The sequence below is a fragment of the Homo sapiens genome, chromosome 1 (assembly GCF_000001405.40).
Source record: "Homo sapiens chromosome 1, GRCh38.p14 Primary Assembly".
Taxonomy (NCBI): Eukaryota; Metazoa; Chordata; class Mammalia; order Primates; family Hominidae; genus Homo; species Homo sapiens.
In genome coordinates, this window is record NC_000001.11 from 159,283,575 (window position 1) to 159,309,588 (window position 26,014).

Sequence of the window (26,014 nt, forward strand, 5' to 3'; positions counted from 1 at the left end):
ATGAAAGGACTGAGTCTACTCAGAGAAAGCAGGTGAAAAAACCTTGTATTCAAGAGGCATTTACAACGGAAGCAAAAACACACAAAATGAGAAAAATCCAGTTCTCTCTAATATCAAAGAGAGCCTCAAATTGTTGCTATGTTCCTGAGGCTTGGGACATTGGCTCATTTGGCTTGAGAAGTGGCCCAGGGAAAAAAATACAGTCTCTTAAACTGCAGATTTCAAGAGCTGTGTATATTTATTTTCCCCAAGGAGAAGAGAATCCCTCTGCCCCAAGTCTCCTGAGATCATCCTTTTGAGAATTCCTCCATGCTACTAAGAGGTAAGGAAGGTAGAACCTGAAGGCTGGTCTCAAGAATTTCATTAGAAATGTGGGTCGCTGATGAAGGAGATGTTTTCATTTGCCTACTGACTGTTGGGGATTGTTGGAGTGTAGAAACTAATACTGCATTGAGTTTTAATAAAGTAAACCACGTGAATACTGGGTAAGCATACAAAGGGAGGACCTTAAATTTAAGTTTCTCAGTATTGGAGAGCAGCTAGCTTCCTGAAACTTATTTATATAAATAATATCAGGGTAATCAAAAGGTTATAGGGGCCGGGACATCTGTCATCCCACTTCAGCCTACAGCAAATTTCCTTGAGTCTCACTGACATACATCTCAGCCCTACTTTTCCATTTAGGGAGATCCATCACCCACACCACACTGGGAAAGGGGAGAAGACACTGTCAGAGCCCTTCCTTGTGCTCCCTTTGGTTCATTCTCTGATCCTGCTGGAGGGGGAATGAAACAGCCATGAACTTCCAATAAGTTTAATTTCTGGCTCAGCACATCCTTCTCCATTCATACAGTCTCTGCACCCATGTGAGATGTTTGAGTAACATTTCAGCCACTCTGTAAAAGGGGACAAGCCCACAAGGGCCTTCAACCCAAACTAAGAATTTTTAAATTCTGAGTTGGCCCTGTTTTCTCTCTGATTACAAACATAATGCTTGTTCATTATAGAAAAAACAGAAAAGGAAAAATAATGTAACGTAAATGACTTGTGATTTCCAATTTAGAAATCAACATCATTAACATTTTGATGAATAGGTTTCTAATCTTTTATGCATTCATATGTGTGCACCTGTCTATATACACATGTATTTATGTTTATGGTAAAAATGGGATGATTATTACTTTTGTAGCCTTTCTTCTTTTTAATAATATGAGATCATGCTATACAAACTTCCTTATATCCAGTTTACTTTTTCTCTTAGCAATGCATTTTGAAACTTTCGCATATCAATAAACATTTTCCTACATTATAATTTTTAAATAATTGCCTTGACTTTTATTACAGGAATGCTCTTTATAATAATATGGTTTGTTTGGATCAAGATTCAAATGAGCACTGCTTATTGCATTTGATTGTAACTCGTTAAAAGTTTTTTTGAGTCTAGACTAGGGTTTCTCAACAGTGGTGCTGTTGACACTTTGAAACTGCTAATTTTTGTTGTGTGTGTACGTGTGTGGGTGTGAGGTGAGTTAGGAGGGGAGATGGTCTTCTGTGTTACAAGATGTTTAGCAGGATCACTGGCCTCTACCCACCCAGAGGACAGATGCCAGTAGAATCCTTCTCTCTTTTCCCACTGTATTGGAAAAAATAAAAAATGTCTCTAAACATTACCAAATATTGCCTGGAGGGCAAGGGTATTTCAACATCCCATTGCCCCCATATTTTAAAAAGTCTCATTTACACATTAAAAAGCCAGGTCAAAATCTTACTTTCTAGATGGCATTTACTCATAGTATCATTAAATTTGTTATATCTTCTGTACTTTTTATAAATTGGAAATTAGTTTTAAAGGCTTAATTAGATTCAGGTTCAGCTTATTAAATTATATTAGATATATTAAACTGGATATACTATAACCTGTAATATAGTATATTAAACTATGGACTATATTAAACTATATATAAAAACACACATAAAATTTGGTGTATATATCAGTTTAATATATATATAAATTATAAATTTGATAATCAAGTAAAGTTGTCTGATTTAACAAAAATACAGGACATCCAGTTAAATTTTAATTTTAAATAAATAGCATAATTTTTAGGATAAGTATGTTACAAATATTGCATGGAATATACAAAATAAATTATTTATTGTTTTTTGAAATTCAAATTCAGTGCAGCATTCTGTATTTTATCTGGGAACTCTAATCAGGAGACACATACTGTTTTGTTGTCTTACTCTAAGCAAAGCTGATTTCAAAATACTATATTGTACCTCATAAATACAAACAATTATTATTTGTCTATTAAAAAATAAAATTTAATCCAGGCACTGTGGCTCATGCCTGTAATCCCAGCACTTTGGGAGGCCAAGGCAGCCGGATCACTTGAGATCAGGAGTGCAAGACCAGCCTGGACAAACCAGCATGGTGAAACACAATCTCTACCAAAAATACAAAAATTAGCAGGACGTGGTGGCGCGCCCCTGTAATTCCAGCTACTCAGGAGGCTGAGGCAGGAGAACTGCTTGAACCCGGGAGGCAGAGGTTGCAGTGACCCGAGATCATGCCACTGCACTCCAGCCTGAGTGACAGAGTGAGACCCTGCCACCAAAATAAATAAATAAATAAATAAATAAAATTTAAATGCATGCACAAAAGCTAACTGATCAATATTTCAGGTGGCAACAGCTTGCTCCTCCATTCAAATGGATCCCATCAACCTTTATCATTTAATTTATTGATAAATTTTGTCTAAATCATTTTTTTTTTGAGACAAAGTCTCTCTCTGTTGCCCAGGCTGGAGTGCAGTGGCGCAGTCTCGGCTCACTGCAAGCTCCGCCTCCCGGGTTCATGCCATTCTCCTGCCTCAGCCTCCCGAGTAGCTGGGACTACAGGCGCCCGCCACCACGCCCGGCTAATTTTTTGTATTTTTAGTAGGGACAGGGTTTCACCATGTTAGCCAGGATGGTCTCGATCTCCTGACCTTGTGATCCGCCCGCCTTGGCCTCCCAAAGTGCTGGGATTACAGGCGTAAGCCATCGTGCCCGGCCTAAATCATTTAAAATTAGGAGTTGCAAAACGGTGCTTTCTTAATCATGCCATTTCTTTTACATTTAGTCAATGGAATTATTTTATATAGAAGGTTTCTTTCATCATTTAGCTTGGGGTGCAAGCTAAAAATGAGTAAAATTGGAATTTAAGCCTCAATCTTCTAATTCTGATCCAGTGTATATTCTATTACATCCAGTGAAAGAAACTATTCTGACTACAAATAGTCATAATCCAGCAAGCCTATGTCCTATAATTAGCAGATATATGAGATGTCAGGAACATATTATAGGGGGAGGAGGCAGTACCTGCAAACTGAAGCAAATTTATAAGTGATTTCCTAAGTAAAAAAGATTAATTCTCTAGAAATAAGGAGTAAACGATGGTGCCCAAAAGAGAAAAGAATGATGCACAATTGAAAAATCTAGGGCATTTTTTCATTTCCCTCCATGCTGGCCACAAATTCTGAATAACGCATGTCAGAATAACCCATGCTTCCAACTACATAGCCATGCATGTGCCATGTAAAACCAAATTGCTTGTGGCTTCTGAGAGGACAAGAATTTTGGTTCACAAACACACTGTAAAAGGCAGGGCAAAGAAGACTCTCTTTTCTTCAGCCATGTGACTAAGGTGGCACAAAGAATTTCAGCTTCCTTTTACTCATTGACTTTATTATACTGTATTTCTAGTTAATTAAATTTACAGTCAAATATTCTGTGGTTAGAATTGTAGAAAGAGTATTAGAAGTCCATCTCTTTCCCATACTTTACATATTCTCAAGAGGACTGGCAGGCCATCGGTCATAAAAGAAAATATTCTGTGATACTAATTACCATAGAAATTAACTAAAGAATATGTCCTGGATGCTGGTTTTCCTAAGTACAGATGCAAAGACAAGATTGGTGGTTTCCACAAAGGATGAATAATTGGAGATAAGGAGTTGTCCAGCACCAGCATTCTCTAGTGCTCTTTTAGAAATATGCATATATAAATATGTACATGTAGATAAACATATTTATATATGTCTATATACACATTGTTATATATATTATTTCATATATTGTATATTATATATAAATATATAATGTATTATATATGTATATAGGCATATTTATATATGTATGTATATTTATATATAAATATAAAATTATATATTATATATGTGTGCAGATAGATAAAGACTTGCCTCTGAGGAAGGAAAGGATGATTTATTAGGTTGTAACATCTTGATATAATAATCAATGAATTAATTGCTCATTTGCCTCTCTAATAAATACATATTAAAAATCTAAGCATGCTCTCTGCTGTGCTGAGTATCAGATAAAGAGCAGTGAACTAAACTAATATAGTCATTGACTTCAATGAGGATGTGATAAGGAGCTAGACCAGGAAAGATGCAATTTTCATATATTGTGATACATGCTATGATAAGGTAAGAATGGAGTAATATGGGAGCAATAAGTAATCTTCTGGCATGCATTTTAATATATGAATTGCTTACATTCACCAGAAAGTGAAAGCCATATAGAAATGACTGGTCTGGTACACTTACTGTTAAAAATGAATACATTCACATACTAAGTTATTTTGTAAGTTTGAGTAATGTCTCAGAGACTGGTCAGCTCCAGTGAGTTTACCATTGAGATCTAGGGCTTGCATGGTAGAGACACAGACCCTGGATCATGGGGGCTACACCAAGATTTTTCTAATTACCAAATTCATCGGACTATTCTTGGTTCTTTCCCTACTTCATAACTGAAACATTTAACACTATTAATCACTCTCCCTCTTGAAATGCTCTTCTGCCTTGGTTTTGTGACACTACTATCTCCTGGTGTTTCTGTTAGAGTTTACTGGATGTGGTCATTTAGTGTGTAGTGTGCATCTGTCAGTCTGCACTGCAGAAGCGATGGTGAATGTCATTTACTCTGGTAATTCAGTTAACCTGGGTTATCAACAGAGCTCTACTGCACTCTTATCATTTCAGTATGTGATTAACCTAAATATTTTAACCATCCACTAACTCTATCTCATCATTCTAATTTAATTCTCTCTGTGTTACTACCTGGTATATTTTGTTCAATAATTTGTTCACTTTTTAATTGACTTTCTCCCCATGATGGACTATAATAATCCTTGAGGGCACCTGTTCTCTCATCCTTTCCTTGGTCCTGTATCTTCAACTAAAGCAGCAGCAGAAACAACAACAGGAGCCTCACAATTTAGTACTGCATTTTCCACTAATTAATTGCTTAGATATATAATTCTCACAAAACATTCTGAGGGGTTCGGGCTTCTCAATCCCTAAAATGAAGAAATTTAAATTGGTTATGACTATGATCCTTTCCTTTTTAACATTTTTCCTATACTTTAAGACTTATGATAAAAACTCATTAGGAAACTAGAAATAACATGTCTTCCCCAAGTCACTTCTAACAAATATCCCATGGTTATCGTCAGTCCTGCCATCTTTCCACTATTCTGCTTCCAACTCCTTTCTTTCTTTGACTTCCACTTTCAAATCTATCACGACCTCCTGCTGCTCTTTCTTTTCTGCCAGCTCAGAGTCAGAGGCATAGAAGGCAAGGTTACTGTAGATCTTGAACTGTCAACCTGGCAGGCAAGATAGGAGAGTGAAGGACTCATCAACTAGCCAGTAGCAGTCACTGCTCTTTAGAAGCCACCTTAGGACCAAATTGTTCAAGTAACTGAACTGTTATCTTCCTGAACTCCTGCAATTCTAATTGCCAGAAAACATCTAGATGTTGGGCCTGCAGAGGACCTTAGCACACTTGTAGTACAATCTTTCCATTTCATACACACAACTGTGTTGAAAGAAGTCTCAACTTGTGAGGTGTAAACATGAAATCATTATTTTTGAAATTACTACTACTGCTGTGGACCCATTCTTCTTGGGCAGTAGCCTCCCTTAATGACTTCTTAGACTAATTCCATAACCTTTTAATCACTTTATGCTACTAAAACAGTCTCATTGGAGTTATTAGGCACAATCAAATCTAATTAATTTTGATTTTATAAAATTAATCAATTTAATTTTATCTTCTGTTCAAAATTCTTTTCAGTCTCCAGCATCCTCCACCTGTCTACCACCGAGCATGGGGTAAGTTTATGGCTCCAGTGGCTTGTTATGTGTTGGGAGGTAAAGGGTGATGGCCACACTACTCACATCCCTCCCTCTTCCAGATATCAGCCCCTTCCTTGAGAGTAGGAAGAAGAAAGCAACTCTCCATGCTGTATTAGCTGTCGGCTCCTTGTTTTGTTTTAACTGCTATTCCTGTGTGAACACTACCTCATAAGTGGAGGTCAGATTGTGGTAGTGTAACCTTTTTGCTAGTTGTCACCATTTCTCTAGCATTATTCATTGTTCTTTCTCATTTGCAGTGATTCAAATATAGGTGCTCTCATGGGAATACCTTTGTAGGTTCTCCAGAAGAACCTATGTCCCATGCATCTGCACAGCAAAAAGAATGACCTATTAACTTATGGTTCAATCAATTCTACTTTCCTCTGCTCTCATTGCAGGCCGCCCACTCCAGAGCCTCTTGTTATTAGAGTTCCCCTCACCCAGAGAGTGTCCCCTTTGAGGGAGAGGGACAATATGGCTTAAGTTCTTGTCACTTTCCTTTATGCCCACCTAACTCAGGGGTACTTAAGTAGGTGCCACACAATGGAGGCTAACTCTAGCACCCTCTCTCTCAGGTCCATTACTTCTAACCTGCCTTTTCCTGCAAACCCTAGCAGTGTCAGATTCTCCATCAGTACCCTAGCAGTGTCAGATTCTCCATCAGTATCTTGCCTCATAAATTTTAAGTCAAAAGATGACCACAAACTCTCAACTTATTGGAGGGAATAATTAAGTTATCCCAAATGTTGTGGCCAAAGTGCTGGAGCACCTTGTTGAATGCCTTTCTTCCTCATGTTTAAGATCCCTACCATTCAGACCTCTAAGCTTCAAATCCTGGCTTTGCCATTCACTAGTTGTATAATCTAAACCTCCCTACCTCATTAAAAACAAGGATGCTGATAGTACCTGTTTCATAGGATTCCTGTGAGTATTAAATAGGATAAAGCACAATGCCTGAATACAGTCAGTGTTCAAAAAATATTAACAGTTACCTGTGCTTATATTTTTATTAGAACACATCCTAGTTTCTCCATTATTCTTCCTGCTTATGGAAATCAAGTTTTTAATAAAGTCATTGTGGTTTGGATGAACTCCCTTCTGCATTTTTGTATTCTACGCAGTATTCCACATATTGCTATGCACATGGCAACTGCTTAACAAATCAAGAAATACATTGCAGTTTCTCTGATATAATGCATTTTTCTGTAATGCAAATTAGTCTATATGCTATAGGCAAGCCAAGGAATAATGTCAATATAACATTGAAGTTGGTTGAAACAAGATTTTTTTCTAGCAAGTTAATATTTTGAACTACCAAGGAACAGCTAACACAAATCTTACTAGCACAGTAGAACATGGCAAGGAATAGAATATTCTGCACAGTAACTATTCACTTCAAGGTTTTCTCTTGGCTTAGTTTTACCACAAGTGTATCTTGAGCATGTTTGTTCTCTGGTTTTCCCCTGCTTTTGTGTATTTTCTCTTTGTCATCTTCTTCCACCAACCTTTGAAAGTGATCAAGTCCTAGATTTACTGTTAATTTTATTTATTACAAATTTAACATATCTTTTTAACTGCATAGTTCATTTGGTAGAAATACTAATGTTTATGTTACTGCTCTGATGGTAGGTTTTCATGATCTGTAACAGTCTTTTTTTCCTCTCAAAGACTTGTTAGTTTTAGTTATTTTTGCAGAATGCAAAACAATTTAAAAAAATAAATGTATGTTACATGTTATGGCAGAAACACCTGTGTTATGTTCAAGAAAGATTTAAATTGAATGAGTGAAAGCCACTTCTCTCTTCTTGATTATGCAAGGGCTTAACTTCTTCAATTATTTAACTTATACTTCCCTTATTCCCTCTCTGCTTACTGAATTATTCCTGTTAGCTAACAAATACAATCCAGCATCTTATATAAAACAAGAATCCTCCCTTAACCCCACATCTTCCTATACCACCATCCCACAGCAAAACTTCTCAGAATATTGTCCGCACATGTTGCCTATGCTTCCTCAATTCCTATTCACTTTTTTAGCCCACTTCAGTTTGCTTTTTACACATATTACTCCACTGCCATTGCTAAAGTCCCAAAAACTTCCATATTGCTAGATTCAGAGGATAATTGTATTCTCTATTTTACTTCACCTCTCAACAAGATTCAATGTAATTAACGATTTCCTCTAGAATTGTACTCTCTTCTTGGTTTTAGTGACATAATTCCCTGTGAGTTTTCTTACCTTATCAGCTGTTTTCTCTAGCCTCTGTTCTGGGTCTTCTGATACTCATCTTCAAGATATTGAAATTTCCTAGAGTTCTGCTCTGAGACTTTCTCTGTTGCTTAATTTCTTTTTCTCTCTCTTCAGCTGACCTCATCTTACTCAGTGGCTTTAAAGTATGCCAGTGATTCTCTACTTTCTCTACTTTATATCTCTAATATAGACATTTCTACTGGTCTCTCAACATTTTTTTTGTAACTGCCTATTTAGCACAGACTCTTAGATACAATAAAGATGCTTCAAACTAAAACACTTCCCAACCGGAACACTTGGTTGATTTCTCCCCCAATTCTAGTACTTCCCTTAAATATAGTACTTCCCCAGTCTTCACCATGTAATTACTGTCTACCCAGTTATTACAGCCAGAAATTTAAGAATCATATTTTATACTTTCTGTGCCCTCCAATCTGTCAGTAAGTCCCATTAATATATATACCTCAAACCCATCAACTTTTCTTTATCTATACTACCACTTCTCTAGACTATCTATCATCATATTTTGACTCTTAAGCATTTCCCAATATCTGCTCAAAAAACCTACAGATTACATGACGACATACCTATCTATATATAGATAGATCGGTAGACGTTGAGAGAATGTGGGTGTATACACATATACTATACATATACATGTCTATGGTTTGAGTGTTTATCCCCTCCAAACTTCGTGATGAAACTTAATTTCCAGTATGGCAGTATTGAGAAGCAGGACCTGTAAGAGGTAATTGGTTCATACAGATTCTGCCCTCATGAATGGATTAACCTAATTATGAATTAATAGATTAATTGAATAATGGGTTATCATGGGAGTGAGACTGGTGGCTCTAAAAGAAGTGGAAGAGAGACTAGAGCTTACAGGCTCAAGCCCCCCTTGCCATGTGAATCTCGGTGCCACCTCGGGAATCTGCAGAGAGTCCCCATTAAGAAAGAATGTCCTCACCAGATAGACCCCTTGACCTTGAACTTCACAGTCTCCAGAACTTTAAGAAATAAATTTATTTTCTTTATAAATTTCAGTCTCAGGTATTCAGTTATAACCACAGAAAATAGACTAAGACATACATGAAGAGCCATCAAACTGTATTAAGCAGGGGAATATATATACATACACACTGTGTGTGTGTGTGTGTGTGTGTGTGTGTGTGTATGTGCATTCTTTTGCTTCACACAGTCCGGTGGCTCTTTCTTAGCTTTCAAATAAAATCCCAACACTTTTTCATGTTCTTCCAGGCCCTCATGATCTGGCCCCTATGTGTATCTCCAATCTCGTTTTATGCCATTGGCCTTCTACTCGCTATGCTTCAGCCCTAATGTCCTTCTCTTAATTTCTTTTTTTTAAATTTTATTATTATTATACTTTAAGTTTTAGGGTACATATGCCCAATGTGCAGGTTAGTTACATATGTATACATGTGACATGCTGGTGTGCCGCACCCATTAACTCGTCATTTAGCATTAGGTATATCTCCTAAAGCTATCCCTCCCCCCTCCCCCCACCCCACAACAGTCCCCAGAGTGTGATGTTCCCCTTCCTGTGTCCATGTGTTCTCATTGTTCAATTCCCATCTATGAGTGAGAATATGCGGTGTTTGGTTTTTTGTTCTTGTGATAGTTTACTGAGAATGATGATTTCCAATTTCATCCATGTCCCTACAAAGGACATGAACTCATCACTTTTTATGGCTGCATAGTATTCCATGGTGTATATGTGCCACATTTTCTTAATCCAGTCTATCACTGTTGGACATTTGCAACCTACTCATCTGACAAAGGGCTAATATCCAGAATCTACAATGAACTCAAACAAATTTACAAGAAAAAAAACAAACAACCCCATCAAAAAGTGGGCGAAGGACATGAACAGACACTTCTCAAAAGAAGACATTTATGCAGCCAAAAAACACATGAAAAAATGCTCACCATCACTGGCCATCAGAGAAATGCAAATCAAAACCACAATGAGATACCATCTCACACCAGTTAGAATGGCAACCATTAAAAAGTCAGGAAACAACAGGTGCTGGAGAGGATGTGGAGAAATAGGAACACTTTTACACTGTTGGTAGGATGGTAAACTAGTTCAACCCTTGTGGAAGTCAGTGTGGCCATTCCTCAGGGATCTAGAACTAGAAATACCATTTGACCCAGCCATCCCATTACTGGGTATATACGCAAAGGACTATAAATCATGCTGCTATAAAGACACATGCACACGTATGTTTATTGCGGCACTATTCACAATAGCAAAGACTTGGAACCTTCTCTTAATTTCTACAATTCTCCAAAGTCTTTCTTTTTATGGGGACTTTCAACTTCCCACTGCTTGAAAATTCTTGTTCCAGCCTTTGTCTTGTTTCATCCTATCTCGTACTTTAAGTCTCTACTTAAAAGTCATTTTTCATCAAATGGCCTTTCTTAACCCTATTTAAAACAGATTGTCCTTGTACGTCTATGGAGCAACATTATTTACTTTTTACAAACGTTAGTCACAAGCTGTCACTGTTCTGTTTACTTATTTATTTTCTGTTTTCTCCAATAGAAAGTCTTCTCCCCAAGGGAAAAGATCTTGTCTGCTTATTATCTCTCTTGTATCACCAGCAAATGACAGAGTGCTTGGAATATAAATACTTGTTGAACAAAGAAATGAAAATATATGATGAAGAATGTTCCTATGCTGAAACTAAATTTTTGTGTTAGTTTTAGTGACAGAAAGATCAAGTAACAGGTCTGTATCCATATTTAAGCCATTTCTTTATTTGTCCATAATAATTCAAGCTCAGAGATTGCCTGTTTGGAAAAGTATATTATAAAAAACACTATTAATAAACTTCAAGACATAGTTTGCTCATTCTGAAAAATTAGAAAATATAATTAGCCAAAATTCTACCAGCAAACTATGATCAAATGCTAACTTTAATGAGATAGCCCTTGATAATTCTGAAGTTATCTTTTTTCTCTTAAAGATAAATTGGCATCATGAGATTATTGAAATATATGGTTGATTAGTATAAATTCAATTTAGGAATTGAGAATACAAAAAATTATTTATTTTACATTCTCTGCTATAGACTTCTAATTAACTCTTGCCCCTTGGGTCATGCAGAGAAGATTTTCTTCATATATCTTTCTGCAACGTGACTGTGCTATTACCTATGATAAAGAGGGTTGTTCTGTGTTTGGCAGCCTATTCTAGGGTGGGCCTTGTGTCAGTTCCTTTTTTTGTCCACCTGTCTCTGAACAACATAAAACCCTCATTCATAGGTGCAGCATGACTTAATTTGTCGGTCACTAGATGCAGTTGTAAATTGCAAACAAAAAAATGGAAATGCAGATGTTGAAATAAAGATGCAATTTTTGGTTATGAAATGGTCATCTGAATGATCCATATTTATATTCATTTATTTATTATCAATGAAAAACGTACAAATTTTCTAATTAAAAAACTTACAAATTCCTAATTATAATAAACACTATTCTACGGGAATGGCCACCAAAATGTCCCAAATTTTATGTCACTGAATCTATTTCTAATATTCGGTCTAATAGTCTAATCACAGACACTCAATATTCATTTGTTTTCTTGAACCTCTATGATAATCTGCAAGTGTTTCCCGTTTTGGAAGAGACAAAGGAAAAAGCTGTGATGAATATCACTGGAAACTGCGGATCAGGGCCCCTATTCCATGTTTCTCTGGCCCTTTTTTCTTCTTCAGAATTTAGCAGTGGTTTTCAATCCTATCAGATCACATTTGATAGCATGCATTTATTCCTGTGTTTGTAAGGCATAAACCTGTAACCACACTACAAATAGTGAGAATATTGCTGTGAAACTGCATACTCTATGCACTCCCAACAATCAATAATAGAAAATAAGTGGTGCTCAATGATGCTAGAGAAAAGAATAAATTATATTTCTAGTTTGTCTATAAAAATGATATTACAATATCTCTGTCTGAGGAAGAGGAGATCAAATAACATGTAATAACAATATTTTGAAAAGGAAGAGGATAGTGGAATATCTGTTTACTTTCTGATGAATTTTATAATGTTTATGTCATTTGTCAGCTGGTATATTTTTAACCTTTTGTGATTAACTTTCTTGTCCTAAATAGTAATTTTAATATCTAATATTGTATTCAAAAATTTCTACTGGATTTTTTAAGGAAGCCCCCTTAAACTGTTTAAGTTTCAGGGCCTCAAACTGGATCTACCTCTGCTACTTACACACACATATATTTTTTAATCAGTAAAATTCCCAGTTTTAATATAAAGAAGAAATAAAGGGAAATAACATTATAATAGGAAAATATGTCCTTCATGAATATGAGTGCTACAAAAACAGACTGATATGAGAATAAGGTATTGGTGACACAAATATCATGAACAGTGTAGCTACAGGTGATCTGATTTTCTGAAACAGTGAAAAATTCAAGGATGTTTTTCCAGTAAAAGCCAAGGATAATCTTTCCTCAATATACATGGTAGTTTCTTTTCTGTAAAATACAGTATGTATGAGAAATGCAAAAGATGCTTTTGTGTTTTTCACAGTCGTGTTTAAGGCTCAGATAATTATAAAATATCTGGCTGCACATTGAAAAGATGTGCAGAATCAGGCCAATTATTTAGTATGCAAGGCTGCCTTCAGTATTGCAGGGCATTTGTTTGCCTGCTAATGCTACAAATGTCTCCTGTATACTCATCATTGAAACAAGCAACCCTCAATACACATACATACATTCTCATGCATAAACTTACATTTCCTAAAGGCCTTTTGTAGGTGGTAACACAGAGTATGATGAGAAAGTTTCAGAATGCGTCCTGCCCCTCCCACTGTTCCCATCCTCACTCATACCCTCTTTCACGCACTAGAAACACACGGGTCACAGAACTGTTTAGCCAGAGTCCTGAAAAATTAGGTCTTCAAAAGTTGCCTATTAAAATGCAAATGTCCTGGTCTGGGCTAAGATCTCTCATCCTTGTCTGTTAACGGCCTAAAAGGATTCCTTTAAGAGATTTCTCTTTCCGTTTTGAAACTGTGTAATTCTGTAAGGAAGCATAAAATAAACCTGGCCTACACTACATTCGGCTTGAGGGCTGACTCTGCACAATGGGGATTTCTCTGTCTCGTACCACACCTGAAAATGATCTTCAAACTTCCTAACGCCACTTCTGCAGACATGCGTGTGTTGGAGGTGTGGGTGTGGTTATGTGTGTGATGATGTCTGTCTCATTGACATGATTACTGCTGTGTGATCCTGGCTGCATCCTGTGAGAACAAGGTTTTGCCTTCTGGACCCACCAGTGGCCTTCCAGGTTCTTCATCCTCAGGACAGACCAGGAGGATGGGAAAGGAGGCTCTCTCTCTGCTGCTCTCAAGTCTAACCAAAGGCTTCTTGCAAAATAATTATAGTATTCATGAAAACTAGTATATGTTCTGTTCTAACCACCTCACCACATTAACTCATTTTATGCTGATAACCACCCTTAAGGTAGGTACTATTACTATCTCCATTTTACTGGTGAGAAGGCTGAGGCAAAAAGAGTTTGAGTGGTCACAGCCGAGACTCAAACTTTAGAGCTTGTTCCTAGCCTGAACTCTTAATTAATCTTGCACTTAATTTCTTTAAATTATCTATGGCTAAACTTTTATTTTTATTCTTTTAATTTTTAAAAATTTAGTGTGATATTCTGGTATTTTTTTTAGCTGGGTATGGTGGCACATCCCCATAATCCCAGCTTCTTGGGAGGATGAGGTGGGAGGGATCACTTGAGCCTGGCAGTCCGAGACTAGCTTGGGCAGCATAGTAAAACCCAGTCTCAAAAAAAATTTTTTTTAAAGAAGGAAAACTTTTTTATACTACAACTTTCCTTAAGGATCTTCCTCAGTGGGCTTATAATATTGTTCTCCCCATTATGAAGAAAATGTCAGCTCACTTAACATCTGTATCTGTTGGAAGACATGAAGGTAAGTTTGAAGCCCTTTGGGCTTCTTGGCTGAAATATACTATTTATAAGGTAGAGGTCATGATCAATTTGTTTGAGTCCACCTTATGGTTCAGATTGTACCCTTAACTACAAGACACCACAAAGATGCTTCATCGGCAAAGTGTGAGTGGCTGATTACATATCTTGAAGACAGGCAGCTTGATATCTAGATGCCCACACCTATGCACTATAAAAGAGTGTAGATTATGCTCAGTGATACGCCTTGGATGTTTTCTCCCCTCCAAATCTCATGTTGAAATGTGGTCCCCAATGTTGGAGGTGGGGCCTAGTTGGAAGTGTTTGGGTCATGGAGGCAGATCTCTTATAAATGGCTTGGTGCCTTCCCCATGGTAATGAGTTCACATGAGAGCTGGTTGTTTAAAGGAAACTAGAACCTCCCTTTTCACTCTCTTCTTTAGTAGTCCTGGGAGTTTCCATTTATTTCCTTTGGATTTATTACTTTTAGACCCATTCAGGTCAAGACAAGAAGTAAAAAATATTAAAGTCACTGACTTTCTTGTGAAAATCTAACAGGCAGTCAGCATCTGCTATTGATGCTCTTTCTTGAGCAGAAACTCCTGTTCAGGGTAGCAAAAGAAAGTAAATGCAGCTGATATCCTCCTGGCCCTAATATAGAGGAAAAAGGAAAGAATCCCTCTCTCCTTTCTTCTTTTTAGGCATGTCCATGAAATATACATAGCTAACATACCAACAGTACCAACATTGTGTGGCTGTGAGTTGAGATGTCATGGCCTGAATTAAGAAAGGGAACTTATAGAACAGAAAGTTGGTTTAGATCAGTGATTTCCTATTTGTGGGTTATGGAACCCTTGAATCCAAGGAATTTCTGCATGAGGACTATGAATCCATGTGCACTTAATCACAAAGTGTAGACTCAATGAATAAAGACATCTTTATCTATCTATCTGTCAATCAATCATCTATCTATCTGGTCATGAGCATGTGCTCTTAAGACATATTGCCAGGTTCAAATTCTAATTCCTTTACATAGCAACTGTGTGCCCTGGGACAAGTTACTTAACCTCTCATGCTTTGATTTCCTTATTCTTAACTACATAGAGTTGGTAGTAGGAGGAAAATAGATAGGACATGTTGCATAGTTAGCCTTGTATTTGATCCTCAGGGAGAGATCAACATTTGTTAGGTACATAAATATCACGAGCAGACAGGCATTTTGCACTTTCATCGTTTCATATTCAATTTTATATGGACCTCACCTTGTTTTAGAGAACTTTGAGAGTGAGAAGGAAGCCAGCAGATTGATTTGGTTTTTCTGCTTCCCAGTTTTGGAGAAGGACATAAAGGCTAACACACTGTATAGGCTGAGCCTTGATCCTCCCTCTGCCAGGCACGTCCCGAAACACAAAAGTTCCTGCCCAAAGCCTCTCACGCTGGATCCAGTTGCAGGGGCACCTCACAGTCCTCAGGCCCTGTAGCTCATGTACAGCCATTTGTTTCATTTTTCCACTGCTACAAAATGAAATATAGATTAAGGCTCCCAACATCAAATAACAGGTCCAAGTTTGGGCATAGTGATACTCTTTGTGTATTGAGCATTCCTGTACCCAGAATCAGAAGCAAGAACTGAAATTTAGACACGCCCTATTGATTTCAGTGAACGTGTGTTCCTGATGTGGACAGGCTGGGTATGAGAAATTAGTAGCAGCCCACTCCACCCAGATAATGGATATGAAACTTGAAGGACTTTTTTTTTTATATATAAGATAAAAAACCTGTGGCATTCAACTGTGTATCAGCCCGTTCTTCCAGGGAGGAATAGAGCTCTTGTTTAATGTTAGTGTTAATGTGTTCCTTCTGTGTTCTTGTTCTGTTCTTTTGGGTACCTGTAGTTATATGCTATGGAAATTAGGGTATGGCTTTTTCTTTCCGATGCTGTTAATGGTTTGCTTTTTTGGGGTGGGGGTGGGCTGGGAAGATGGGTAGTTTGGTTGCTTTTTAGGCTTTAATGAGCTGCTTTTATTGGACTGCTACATTTTTGCTGTTACTGCTACCAAAGCACTTCCTTTATTTCAATACCGGGCACTTAAGCAAAAGCTTTAGAATGATAAATCCAAAGTTTCAGAAAGCTTTAGAAATGAAAGTGGCCTCCCTAACTCCAAAGCTTATACTCTTCGAACTAGGAATAGTACCTCTCGATGAGCCCTGCTCCATCTCCCATCTAAGTAGGAGCTATTTAGATAACGACTTCAGAGGAAGCCTTTAAATAGACTATTTGAGTCATGGTAAAATGACTCTCTCTGAGGGACAATTTGATTGTAGGTTCACTGTCCTAGGAAAAAGGAACCCAAATTTCCCCTGGCAAAGTCTCAACAAACTGGTAAAGTAGAATCTTTCCCCGTCTCTTCCAGGGCTTAGGGCTTCAAATATTGCCCTCTGACAGCACCTTAAAAACTACATCTTCCCTATTTCCTCCTCCTTCTCTTCTCCAATCCTATCCAACAACTTTCTGCATTCTGTTCTTTCCTGATTATGCTCTCTTCTTTGTGACTGTGGAGAGGATTGAGATTGCGTAGATATATTAAACTAGCATAAGATGTTGTTTATCAAATTAAACATACTATGTAGGTTGACAATAACTTTAATCCAGTCAAAATTCATATTTCTCCTATAAGTCTTTAATAAATAATGATAATAAAGAAGACAAAAAATGTATTTATTGACCATATTTCACATGTCAGATGCTGTGCAATGCATTTTACTTCTTTTTTATCTTATTAAATCTCATAATATAACCATGACCTGGATACCATTATTGTCCCTATTATACAGGTAACCTTCAATCACATAAAAATTAGGAACATTTGAATTCAGAGCTTAAAACACAAACAACTTGTACTTTTCAAAATAACTTGCTGTTACCTTTAAGGTCTGTCATTAAAACATAGCATGTCCTGGGCTCAGTACCTAATCTTTCTTATCTGAAACTTAAATTCCTATTTATTAACCTTTTTAGCCCTATATTTTCTAATTCCATAGAAAACTAAAGGTTTTGGTTAGATCTTCATGTGGAATGACTGGTTTCATTCAATAGACTTAATTCAGCAGTCTGTGGGGAAGAGCAAGGTATGATAGAATGGTTCCTCAAGTGCTTCAGATGTGAAGTGGGTTTAAATATACTGTCCCTGTCTTCTTCAGAGTTTTGGTAAAGATAAAATAGGACACTCATTTAAAAGCAATCTTTGCAAATGACAAGCCACTATAGACATTAATAGAGTTTTCATTTCCAGTATTATCATTAATATCAGATCCTGGAAGAAGGTTGAGCCTTGACCTAGAGCAAAAAAACAGAAGAATTAGTAAAGGAATCCTGGAGAAAGCCCCTGCTGTGTATTTAAAGGAGAAAGGGAGATCATGTTGGGAAATTATAATATTAAAAGTAAACAAAAGCTAGGAAGTAAAATAAAATAAATTATATGGCCTAGATCCCCATAAGTAATGGTTTAACTTCTGCCTTCCTGTGTTCTGAGCCAGATTAGGGCACAGTAGAGAAAGAGGAGTCTCTGAAAATGTTTCCAATTTCGCTGGTCAGACAGCGGATCATCAGTGAATCAGATGAAAATTTGTGGATTTATGCACTAACTGATCAGCAGGAAATTAAACAAGAAAAGCGTTGGTAGCTCTGGTGAATCCCAAAAGAATTTGGCAGTTGCTAGCCATGCTCCTGAATATGTATAAACAGTACATCATATGACTAAGAGTTTGACTTAGGGGTTAGATTTTATGTGTTTGAACCCCAAATTAGTTATTTAATAGTTGGCACCCCAAAACAAGTTACTTAACCTCACTAAGATTCAGTTTTCCTGTTTATAAAATGTAGATAGTGATAGTATGTACTTTATAGGATTATTGTGAAAAATAAATGAAATATCAGATTTATTTAGGATAACACCTGGCATATGTTTGGTATTCAGTAATTAGTTGCTGCTGTTTTATTCTGCTCTCCCTTGCATCCCACTTTTCTAAGTTGTAAACTAAATAGTTGTACACAGATTGACAGATTAAGAAAGGCTTGTGATTGTGCTAGACCTATGCCTCTCTCTCACCAGATTCCAGGTGTATATGTGGAGGTGGGATAGGGAGTGGAGTAAGTGGGTAAATATTAAATTGCCCAGTTGGGCACCATCCTGAATATTATCTCTAAAGAAAGAAGCAAAACCAGGCACAGCTGATGGGTTAACCAGATATGATACAGAAAACATTTCCTTCTGCTTTTTGGTTTTAAGCCTATATTTGAAGCCTTAGATCTCTCCAGCACAGTAAGCACCAGGAGTCCATGAAGAAGATGGCTCCTGCCATGGAATCCCCTACTCTACTGTGTGTAGCCTTACTGTTCTTCGGTAAGTAGAGATTCAATTACCCCTCCCAGGGAGGCCCAAATGAATTTGGGGAGCAGCTGGGGTAGGAACCTTTACTGTGGGTGGTGACTTTTTCTAGGACATGTGCAAACTATTGGGCATTTCCCAGGGACTCTGTAGTGGAGCCAAGCTAGAAAGCAGAGGCAAGTGGGCTGAGCAACACCTAAGGAGGAAGCCAGACTGAAAGCTTGGTTCCTTGCATTTGCTCTGGCATCTTCCAGAGTGCAAATTTCCTACCAAGGAAATGAGGGTAGAGGAGAGAAAGAAGCTCTTTCTTCCCCTGATTCTGATTCCTGAAAAGACGGTTGGTCCTTAAAATTCCATGGATGTAGATCTTATCCCCACACCCAGATTCTAGTCCTCTGGAGATAAAGAAGACTGCTGGACACTAATGTATCCTCTCTGGACTTTTGCAGCTCCAGATGGCGTGTTAGCAGGTGAGTCCTCTGTTCTTGTTCCCTTGGTGTTTCAACATGTCTGGGCATTGCTTTCCTCTCACTATTTTCTTCGTCCCATCACTTCTGCTTTCTAATGAGCATGAATCTGTTCCTTGGCCAGACTACTTTCCCTCTCCACCTTGCCTTGTCTTTCTTTTTTTCCCTGATTCATTGCATTCTCTCAAGTCATTCTCTCCTCTGTTTTAGTCAATAACCATGTCTGTTGCACATATACATGTCTCATTCTCTCTCCTAGACACTTTGGCATGATCTCGCTCAATAATTACATTATTATTATTATTGCCATTTTATAATTGAGGATGCTGAAACTCAGTGATTTTCTGGTGGTTACATGGCTAAGGAACTGGATTTCAACGTAAGTTCCTTGGATCTAAGTCCAGTTCTCTTCTGACTATATCACCCTTTTGTTATCACCATGTATCTACTTCTTTGGTCTCTGTTCAAATTTGCACTACATCCCCTTGTTCCAGGAAGCCATTCAAGACTGACTTTCTTAGTGCCTCTCACTACTTTCTGGAACTGACATATGTTTTTCACTCTGTATATACTTACAATTAAATAGTCATAAATATTCAGAGCTTGGAGAAACCTTATATTTCATCCAGTCCAGTAAATTTATCCATCCATAATTCACTCATTCATTCACATAATAAATATTTAATGTAACAATGGTTGAACATGGCAGACAGTGTTTCTACCTCAAAAGAGATTGCAGTCCTCATTTACAGATACTGAATTGAAATTAACAGAAGTAGAGTGAGTCAGCTCAAATCACATAGTGAATTGGTTTCTTTGTTTTTAAATCTCCTGCATATGTGTCCTGTCTTTCTCCCTGTGTTGGGCGTTCCCTGGGGCACCAATACTAATTTCTCCTTCCCCTAGAAATCAAAACAGGGTCTTATCACCAACAGAATAAGGACAGGTTGACCACTGATTGTCAGAATATTGCTTCGTTTGTACTTTTAAGCCTAGACAGTTTTCAATGACTTTTTTTCTCTCTACATGTCTTTTCATATTTTTATCTTCTTGAAGTCCCTCAGAAACCTAAGGTCTCCTTGAACCCTCCATGGAATAGAATATTTAAAGGAGAGAATGTGACTCTTACATGTAATGGGAACAATTTCTTTGAAGTCAGTTCCACCAAATGGTTCCACAATGGCAGCCTTTCAGAAGAGACAAATTCAAGTTTGAATATTGTGAATGCCAAATTTGAAGACAGTGGAGAATACAAATGTCAGCACCAACAAGTTAATGAGAGTGAACCTGTGTACCTGGAAGTCTTCAGTGGTAAGTTCCAGGGATATGGAAATACAGATCTCTCATGTGAGGGATGGCTCATCTGAAGATGGGAAAAAACAGGTTATTCCAAGGGTTAGGACACCAGAGTGGGATTCAAGGCCTCTCATTTTTAAGACCCCTGCATTGGCTGGGCACAGTGGCTCACGCCTGTAATCCCAGCACTTTGGGAGGCTGAGGCAGGTGGATCACGAGGTCAGGAGATCGAGACCATCCGGCTAACATGGTGAAACCCCATCTCTGCTAAAAAATATATATATATAAAATTAGCCGGGCGTAGTGGTGGGCACCTGTAGTCCCAGGTACTCGGGAGGCTGAGGCAGGAGAATGGTGTGAACCCAGGAGGTGGAGGTTGCAGTGAGCTGAGATCACGCCACTGCCCTCCAGCCTGGGCTACAGAGCAAGACTCCGTCTCAAAAAATAAATAAATAAATAAAAAAGACCCCTGCATCTCTTTTCTTCTACCCCCTTCCCTTTTGATTACTTGTATGCCTTCTTTCAATATTCTAGTCATCTCTCAATATTATTCCTCCACCCTATTTTCCTCTATCTTTTCTGCCTAGATTCAGGTATATATTATGTGGTCAAACAGCATGACATATATGTGAACATTTCAAAGAGCTGTGTATCTGGAATAGGATCAAAAGGTTTGACTTAAAGTTTTGCTCTGCATAATCCATATGGCAGGACCTGAATATTAGGTTGTACTCTTCGTTATGAAACATATCTGGGTACATTTCCTTATGTCCTCTGTTGTTACTTAAGAACACATATTTCATGCTTGTTTCATTTTTATCACTCCTACTGCCAACAAATAGCATAGCATGCTTAGGCACATGTGGCTTAATTAGCAAATGTTGAATAAACAAATTAATGATTTTGAATAGTGACCAATAGGTCTCTTTTATACTCTATATTTTTCTCTTGAGTGAAAAAAAATGTTTCAACCTCCATATGTAAATTCCAAACACAAACTAAAGCAATGTAGAATAGCTTCTTTATTCCCTGGAGTAGGTTCTAGAGAAGTCCTAAAGGATTGGTCCTAAATTAATTATGCTTATTATGCTAGCGATATTTCCTTTCAAAATTCTCCTTTAATGAATGCTTTTTAATTTTTACAAAAGCATTAACCATAGAATGTGATTCTTGTCTTTCACTGACTCATTAGTGACAAATATTTGTTGAGTACCTACCAACTCCTAAGTATTGCTACCAACTCCTAAATACTGTGTTGGGCATTCAGAATAGAATGTAGAACTAGACAGGGTCCCTGACTTCTTGGAGCACAGAGCAGTATGGGAAGAGGACATTAAATAAAGAATTACATAAGTAATTAATTTAAATTATACATGTTTTGAAGAAGTTTTTTTTTGACAACTATAATTAACACTAGAACTGGGAAGTTTCTATAAGGTAAGAGAGGACAAAATAGACACTCTCCTAAGCTAAAATTCCCAAGAAAGACTGTTTATTTTCCCCTAACTAACTAGAACTAGCAACAGAAGATCTGAAAGGAATTCTGGCTTTCAAGTGTTCCATGTATGGACTCATCAGGGAGGTCCGAGAGGCTTTGTGGCCCCAGACTGACTTTTCAGGAGGGGAAAGGATTTATCAATACACAAGACAGGCTCTAAGCATTATTTTGTGCCCTTTAAAAATCCACTTTATGAGCCAAAAAGTGAGTTAATGATAATTCATAGTTTCTGACACATGCTCTATGCGTGGCTCTCTTTTCTCTATTCATTCTCTCTCTCTTCATTTATTGTTAAATAAATAATGTAATGAATGTTCTTCAGACTGGCTGCTCCTTCAGGCCTCTGCTGAGGTGGTGATGGAGGGCCAGCCCCTCTTCCTCAGGTGCCATGGTTGGAGGAACTGGGATGTGTACAAGGTGATCTATTATAAGGATGGTGAAGCTCTCAAGTACTGGTATGAGAACCACAACATCTCCATTACAAATGCCACAGTTGAAGACAGTGGAACCTACTACTGTACGGGCAAAGTGTGGCAGCTGGACTATGAGTCTGAGCCCCTCAACATTACTGTAATAAAAGGTGAGTTGGTAAAGGAAAGGAAAAGCATCCATAGCAGGGGAAGGAAGAGAGAACTTCTGAGCCTGAGCAGTTGCAGCTTGTAGAAGGGGGGCACCTGTGATACACTGGAAAGCCTACCAGACTTGCAATGAGGAGACCTGGGTGATAGTATATATCTCAATCTCTGTTTCAAAGCCTTGACTTGTTAAATGGTGATAGTAATACCTGCTTGCACTATGAAATTTTTATGAAGATTAATGTGGTAATATTTGTGAAATGACTTTGTAAACTGTTAAGCACTACCCAAGCATAACAGATTGTGATTACTATTTTGATCTCAAAGTCATCTGTTGCTCCTGGGGGAACACTTATATTTATCAAATTGAAAAAAAGTTTCAAAGTTGAATGAAGAAAGGATATAAAGAGCTTGAGGAGCCCATTCCAGCTTAGGAGGGCTGGGAAAGGAAACCAGCAAGTCAGTAAGCTGTGTGCCTGTGTATTGAGGGAGGAGGGAATGGACTTGATATGGAGAGGGTAGGGAGGTGGACTGCCTCTATGGCCTGTAAGAAAAACTGCTCTCTCCAAACTCTTTATAAGAGAGGGAGCCTGTGAAGTATTCACTTTTGAAGGAGAAAGTTAGACTTTTCCTTCACACACTTTGTACATAATAATGTTTAAAAAAGCATGAGGTCAAAATACATAATTAAGTCCTAGCAGTTCTCTGTTAACTAATTTGAGACTGAAGTGCTATGTACTTGTCTCTAGGCTTCCAGTATCTTCATCTGTAAAACAGAATATTTGGTCTAGATTCCATTAGAATCATTTGATAACTTAAAAAATATATTGATGCTCATGTCTCATTTCTTGAGATTCTGATTTAATTGGTTTGGGGTGCAGCCTGGGTATACGTATTTTTCATAGGTCTTTCACATAATGGTAATGGGTAGCCAATATTGAGAATCACTTGTCTAGGTGATCTTTAAATGATTTCTGGATGTAATATTCTGAGGCTCTATAATTTGAGACTAATCACAAAAATCGGTACAGTTTATAAACAGACTAACAGAACCACAAAATAATAGAATTGGAAGGCAATTTAACTAGTGCAATTTCTTCATTTTGCCTAACAGGCATGTAAGAAATGATGATTGATTGAGTAATAGGCATTGATGACCCCTGTCCTCACTTTGTCCCCTTTCCACCCCTTAATTATATGTGAATTCTGGTCTTGTCATTTCGAATAAGGGGTTTATCTTTCCTATTGTCTTCCCCTCTGGGCACGGCACACTGGCTACTGGAGTTAAGAGGAAATGCTTAGGACTCCCTGTGGCTCCAGGGAGCACCAACAGAGCAACTCAACCTAGTGTTAATCTGAGTGTTTTCTCTGTGCTTCTGGATGCCACATCACGCTAAAAATGAAGGACAAAGCTTGGTCTTTCTCTTAGGGAGGATGAAACTCTGAACCTCATTTTTCAGTTCCCAAGATGAATTATGTTTCTCATTGCATCTGTGTTCCACTACAGCTCCGCGTGAGAAGTACTGGCTACAATTTTTTATCCCATTGTTGGTGGTGATTCTGTTTGCTGTGGACACAGGATTATTTATCTCAACTCAGCAGCAGGTCACATTTCTCTTGAAGATTAAGAGAACCAGGAAAGGCTTCAGACTTCTGAACCCACATCCTAAGCCAAACCCCAAAAACAACTGATATAATTACTCAAGAAATATTTGCAACATTAGTTTTTTTCCAGCATCAGCAATTGCTACTCAATTGTCAAACACAGCTTGCAATATACATAGAAACGTCTGTGCTCAAGGATTTATAGAAATGCTTCATTAAACTGAGTGAAACTGGTTAAGTGGCATGTAATAGTAAGTGCTCAATTAACATTGGTTGAATAAATGAGAGAATGAATAGATTCATTTATTAGCATTTGTAAAAGAGATGTTCAATTTCAATAAAATAAATATAAAACCATGTAACAGAATGCTTCTGAGTATTCAAGGCTTGCTAGTTTGTTTGTTTGTTTTCTACTAAAGGCAAGGACCATGAAGTTCTAGATTGGAAATGTCCTCTCTTGACTATTGCAAGTGCGATCTAGGAATGAAAAGACATAGGAGGATGCCAGTGAGGTGGATCATTTTTATGCTTCTTCTTCAGCTTACTAAATATGAACTTTCAGTTCTTGGCAGAATCAGGGACAGTCTCAAGACATAGGACTCTCAGGATGAAGTAGAGTCCAGGATTCCTCTGTGATTGTTTTGCCCCTCCCAAATTTATATCTTGAACTTATGTCTTGTATCTTTATACAGCACCTGAACCAAGCATTTTGGAGAAATTCCAGCTAATAATAATAACCAAAACCTTCGGCTCTGAAAACAGTCCAGGACTGAATAAGATCTTGGGCAAAAGAACTAGACAGTTTTGGTTTATTTTCCCTTTCATTTTATGTCTTCATCATAGTCATTGGAGGCTCATTCTTCTGTCATGGAGTAAATGGGATTAAGTTTTTACCTATGATTTATTTTTTAATTTTTTGTAGAGATGAGGTCTTGCTATTTTGCCCAGGCTGATCTCAAACTCTTGGCCTCAAGCGATTCTCCCACCTCAGCCTCACAAAGTGTGGGATTATAGGTTTGAGCCACTGCGCCTGGCCAAGTTTCTGCCTATAATAAAGCCATCCATTAGAAAGAGACTAAACCATACAGAAAAAGACATCAATTCAAATCCTGACTCTTCTACTTTCTAGATTTGTGATCTGGAAAAATTTTCTTATACCTCCATGGGCTTTAGTATTTCATTTGTGAAAAAAAGAAAAGGATAATAGTCATCCTGTCTACCTCTTAGAGTTCTTCTGAGAATCAAATAAGAGGCTGTATTTGAAAGTTCTTTGTAAATTGTAAACATTTATACAAATTTAGGAACTTTTAGCACCTACATGAGATCCAGTCTTTGCCACCACTACCCTCTACCCCCATGATCCTGCCCATAAAAATATTTATACTCAGGGCTTAGAGAAAGCACTAGGGAAGATGGGCAACATATTGCTGGTGCTGGCTGTGGATTCATGGAAATCAGTGAAAGATCAGGATGCCTATAGCTTACCCGTGCCTTAGAACAATTAATAGTATGAGGAAGTGTGGCTGGGGAGAAAACTTTTAAATATCCATGGGACCCACAAGTCCCATTTTTTCCAAGGAATGTTTTTGGGTCACAAAGAACAGGGAAATTACTGAAACATTTCTTTCCTCTTTTTTTAACTTTGGATAGGGATCTGGTATTACCTTTCTTCACACTCTCCTCCACTTAAAAAAAAATCATTTAAAAGAGGCAAGAAAAGGCCAGAATCCCAGTGAACACCCT

At 37.6% G+C, this 26,014-nt stretch overlaps 1 protein-coding gene across 4 annotated transcripts; it reads left to right on the forward strand.

Annotated features, from left to right (window-relative positions):
• On the forward strand, positions 1–24,628 carry FCER1A (Fc epsilon receptor Ia). Of its 4 annotated transcripts, NM_002001.4 has the most exons (7): positions 1–322; positions 6,142–6,179; positions 18,732–18,845; positions 19,280–19,300; positions 20,354–20,608; positions 22,414–22,671; positions 24,174–24,628. In NM_002001.4, exons 3-7 carry the CDS (start codon positions 18,791–18,793, stop codon positions 24,356–24,358), a joined length of 774 nt encoding a protein of 257 aa, NP_001992.1. In that variant the 5' UTR covers positions 1–322; positions 6,142–6,179; positions 18,732–18,790; the 3' UTR covers positions 24,359–24,628. The 4 variants fall into 4 exon arrangements, with proteins under 4 accessions (NP_001992.1, NP_001374209.1, NP_001374211.1 ...); NM_001387280.1 differs by lacking the exons at positions 1–322; positions 6,142–6,179 and having other exon boundaries at positions 18,762–18,845; NM_001387282.1 differs by lacking the exons at positions 1–322; positions 6,142–6,179 and having other exon boundaries at positions 18,762–18,845; positions 20,453–20,608.
• The last annotated feature ends 1,386 nt before the right edge of the window (positions 24,629–26,014 follow it).

Bases quoted from the DNA above. Each gene is read 5' to 3' on its own strand.
- FCER1A (NM_002001.4), top strand. From the start codon at position 18,791: ATGGCTCCTGCCATGGAATCCCCTACTCTACTGTGTGTAGCCTTACTG. The intron at 18,846-19,279 runs GTAAGTAGAGAT...GGACTTTTGCAG, and splicing joins TGTAGCCTTACTGTTCTTCG to CTCCAGATGGCGTGTTAGCA. The intron at 22,672-24,173 runs GTGAGTTGGTAA...GTTCCACTACAG, and splicing joins CAACATTACTGTAATAAAAG to CTCCGCGTGAGAAGTACTGG.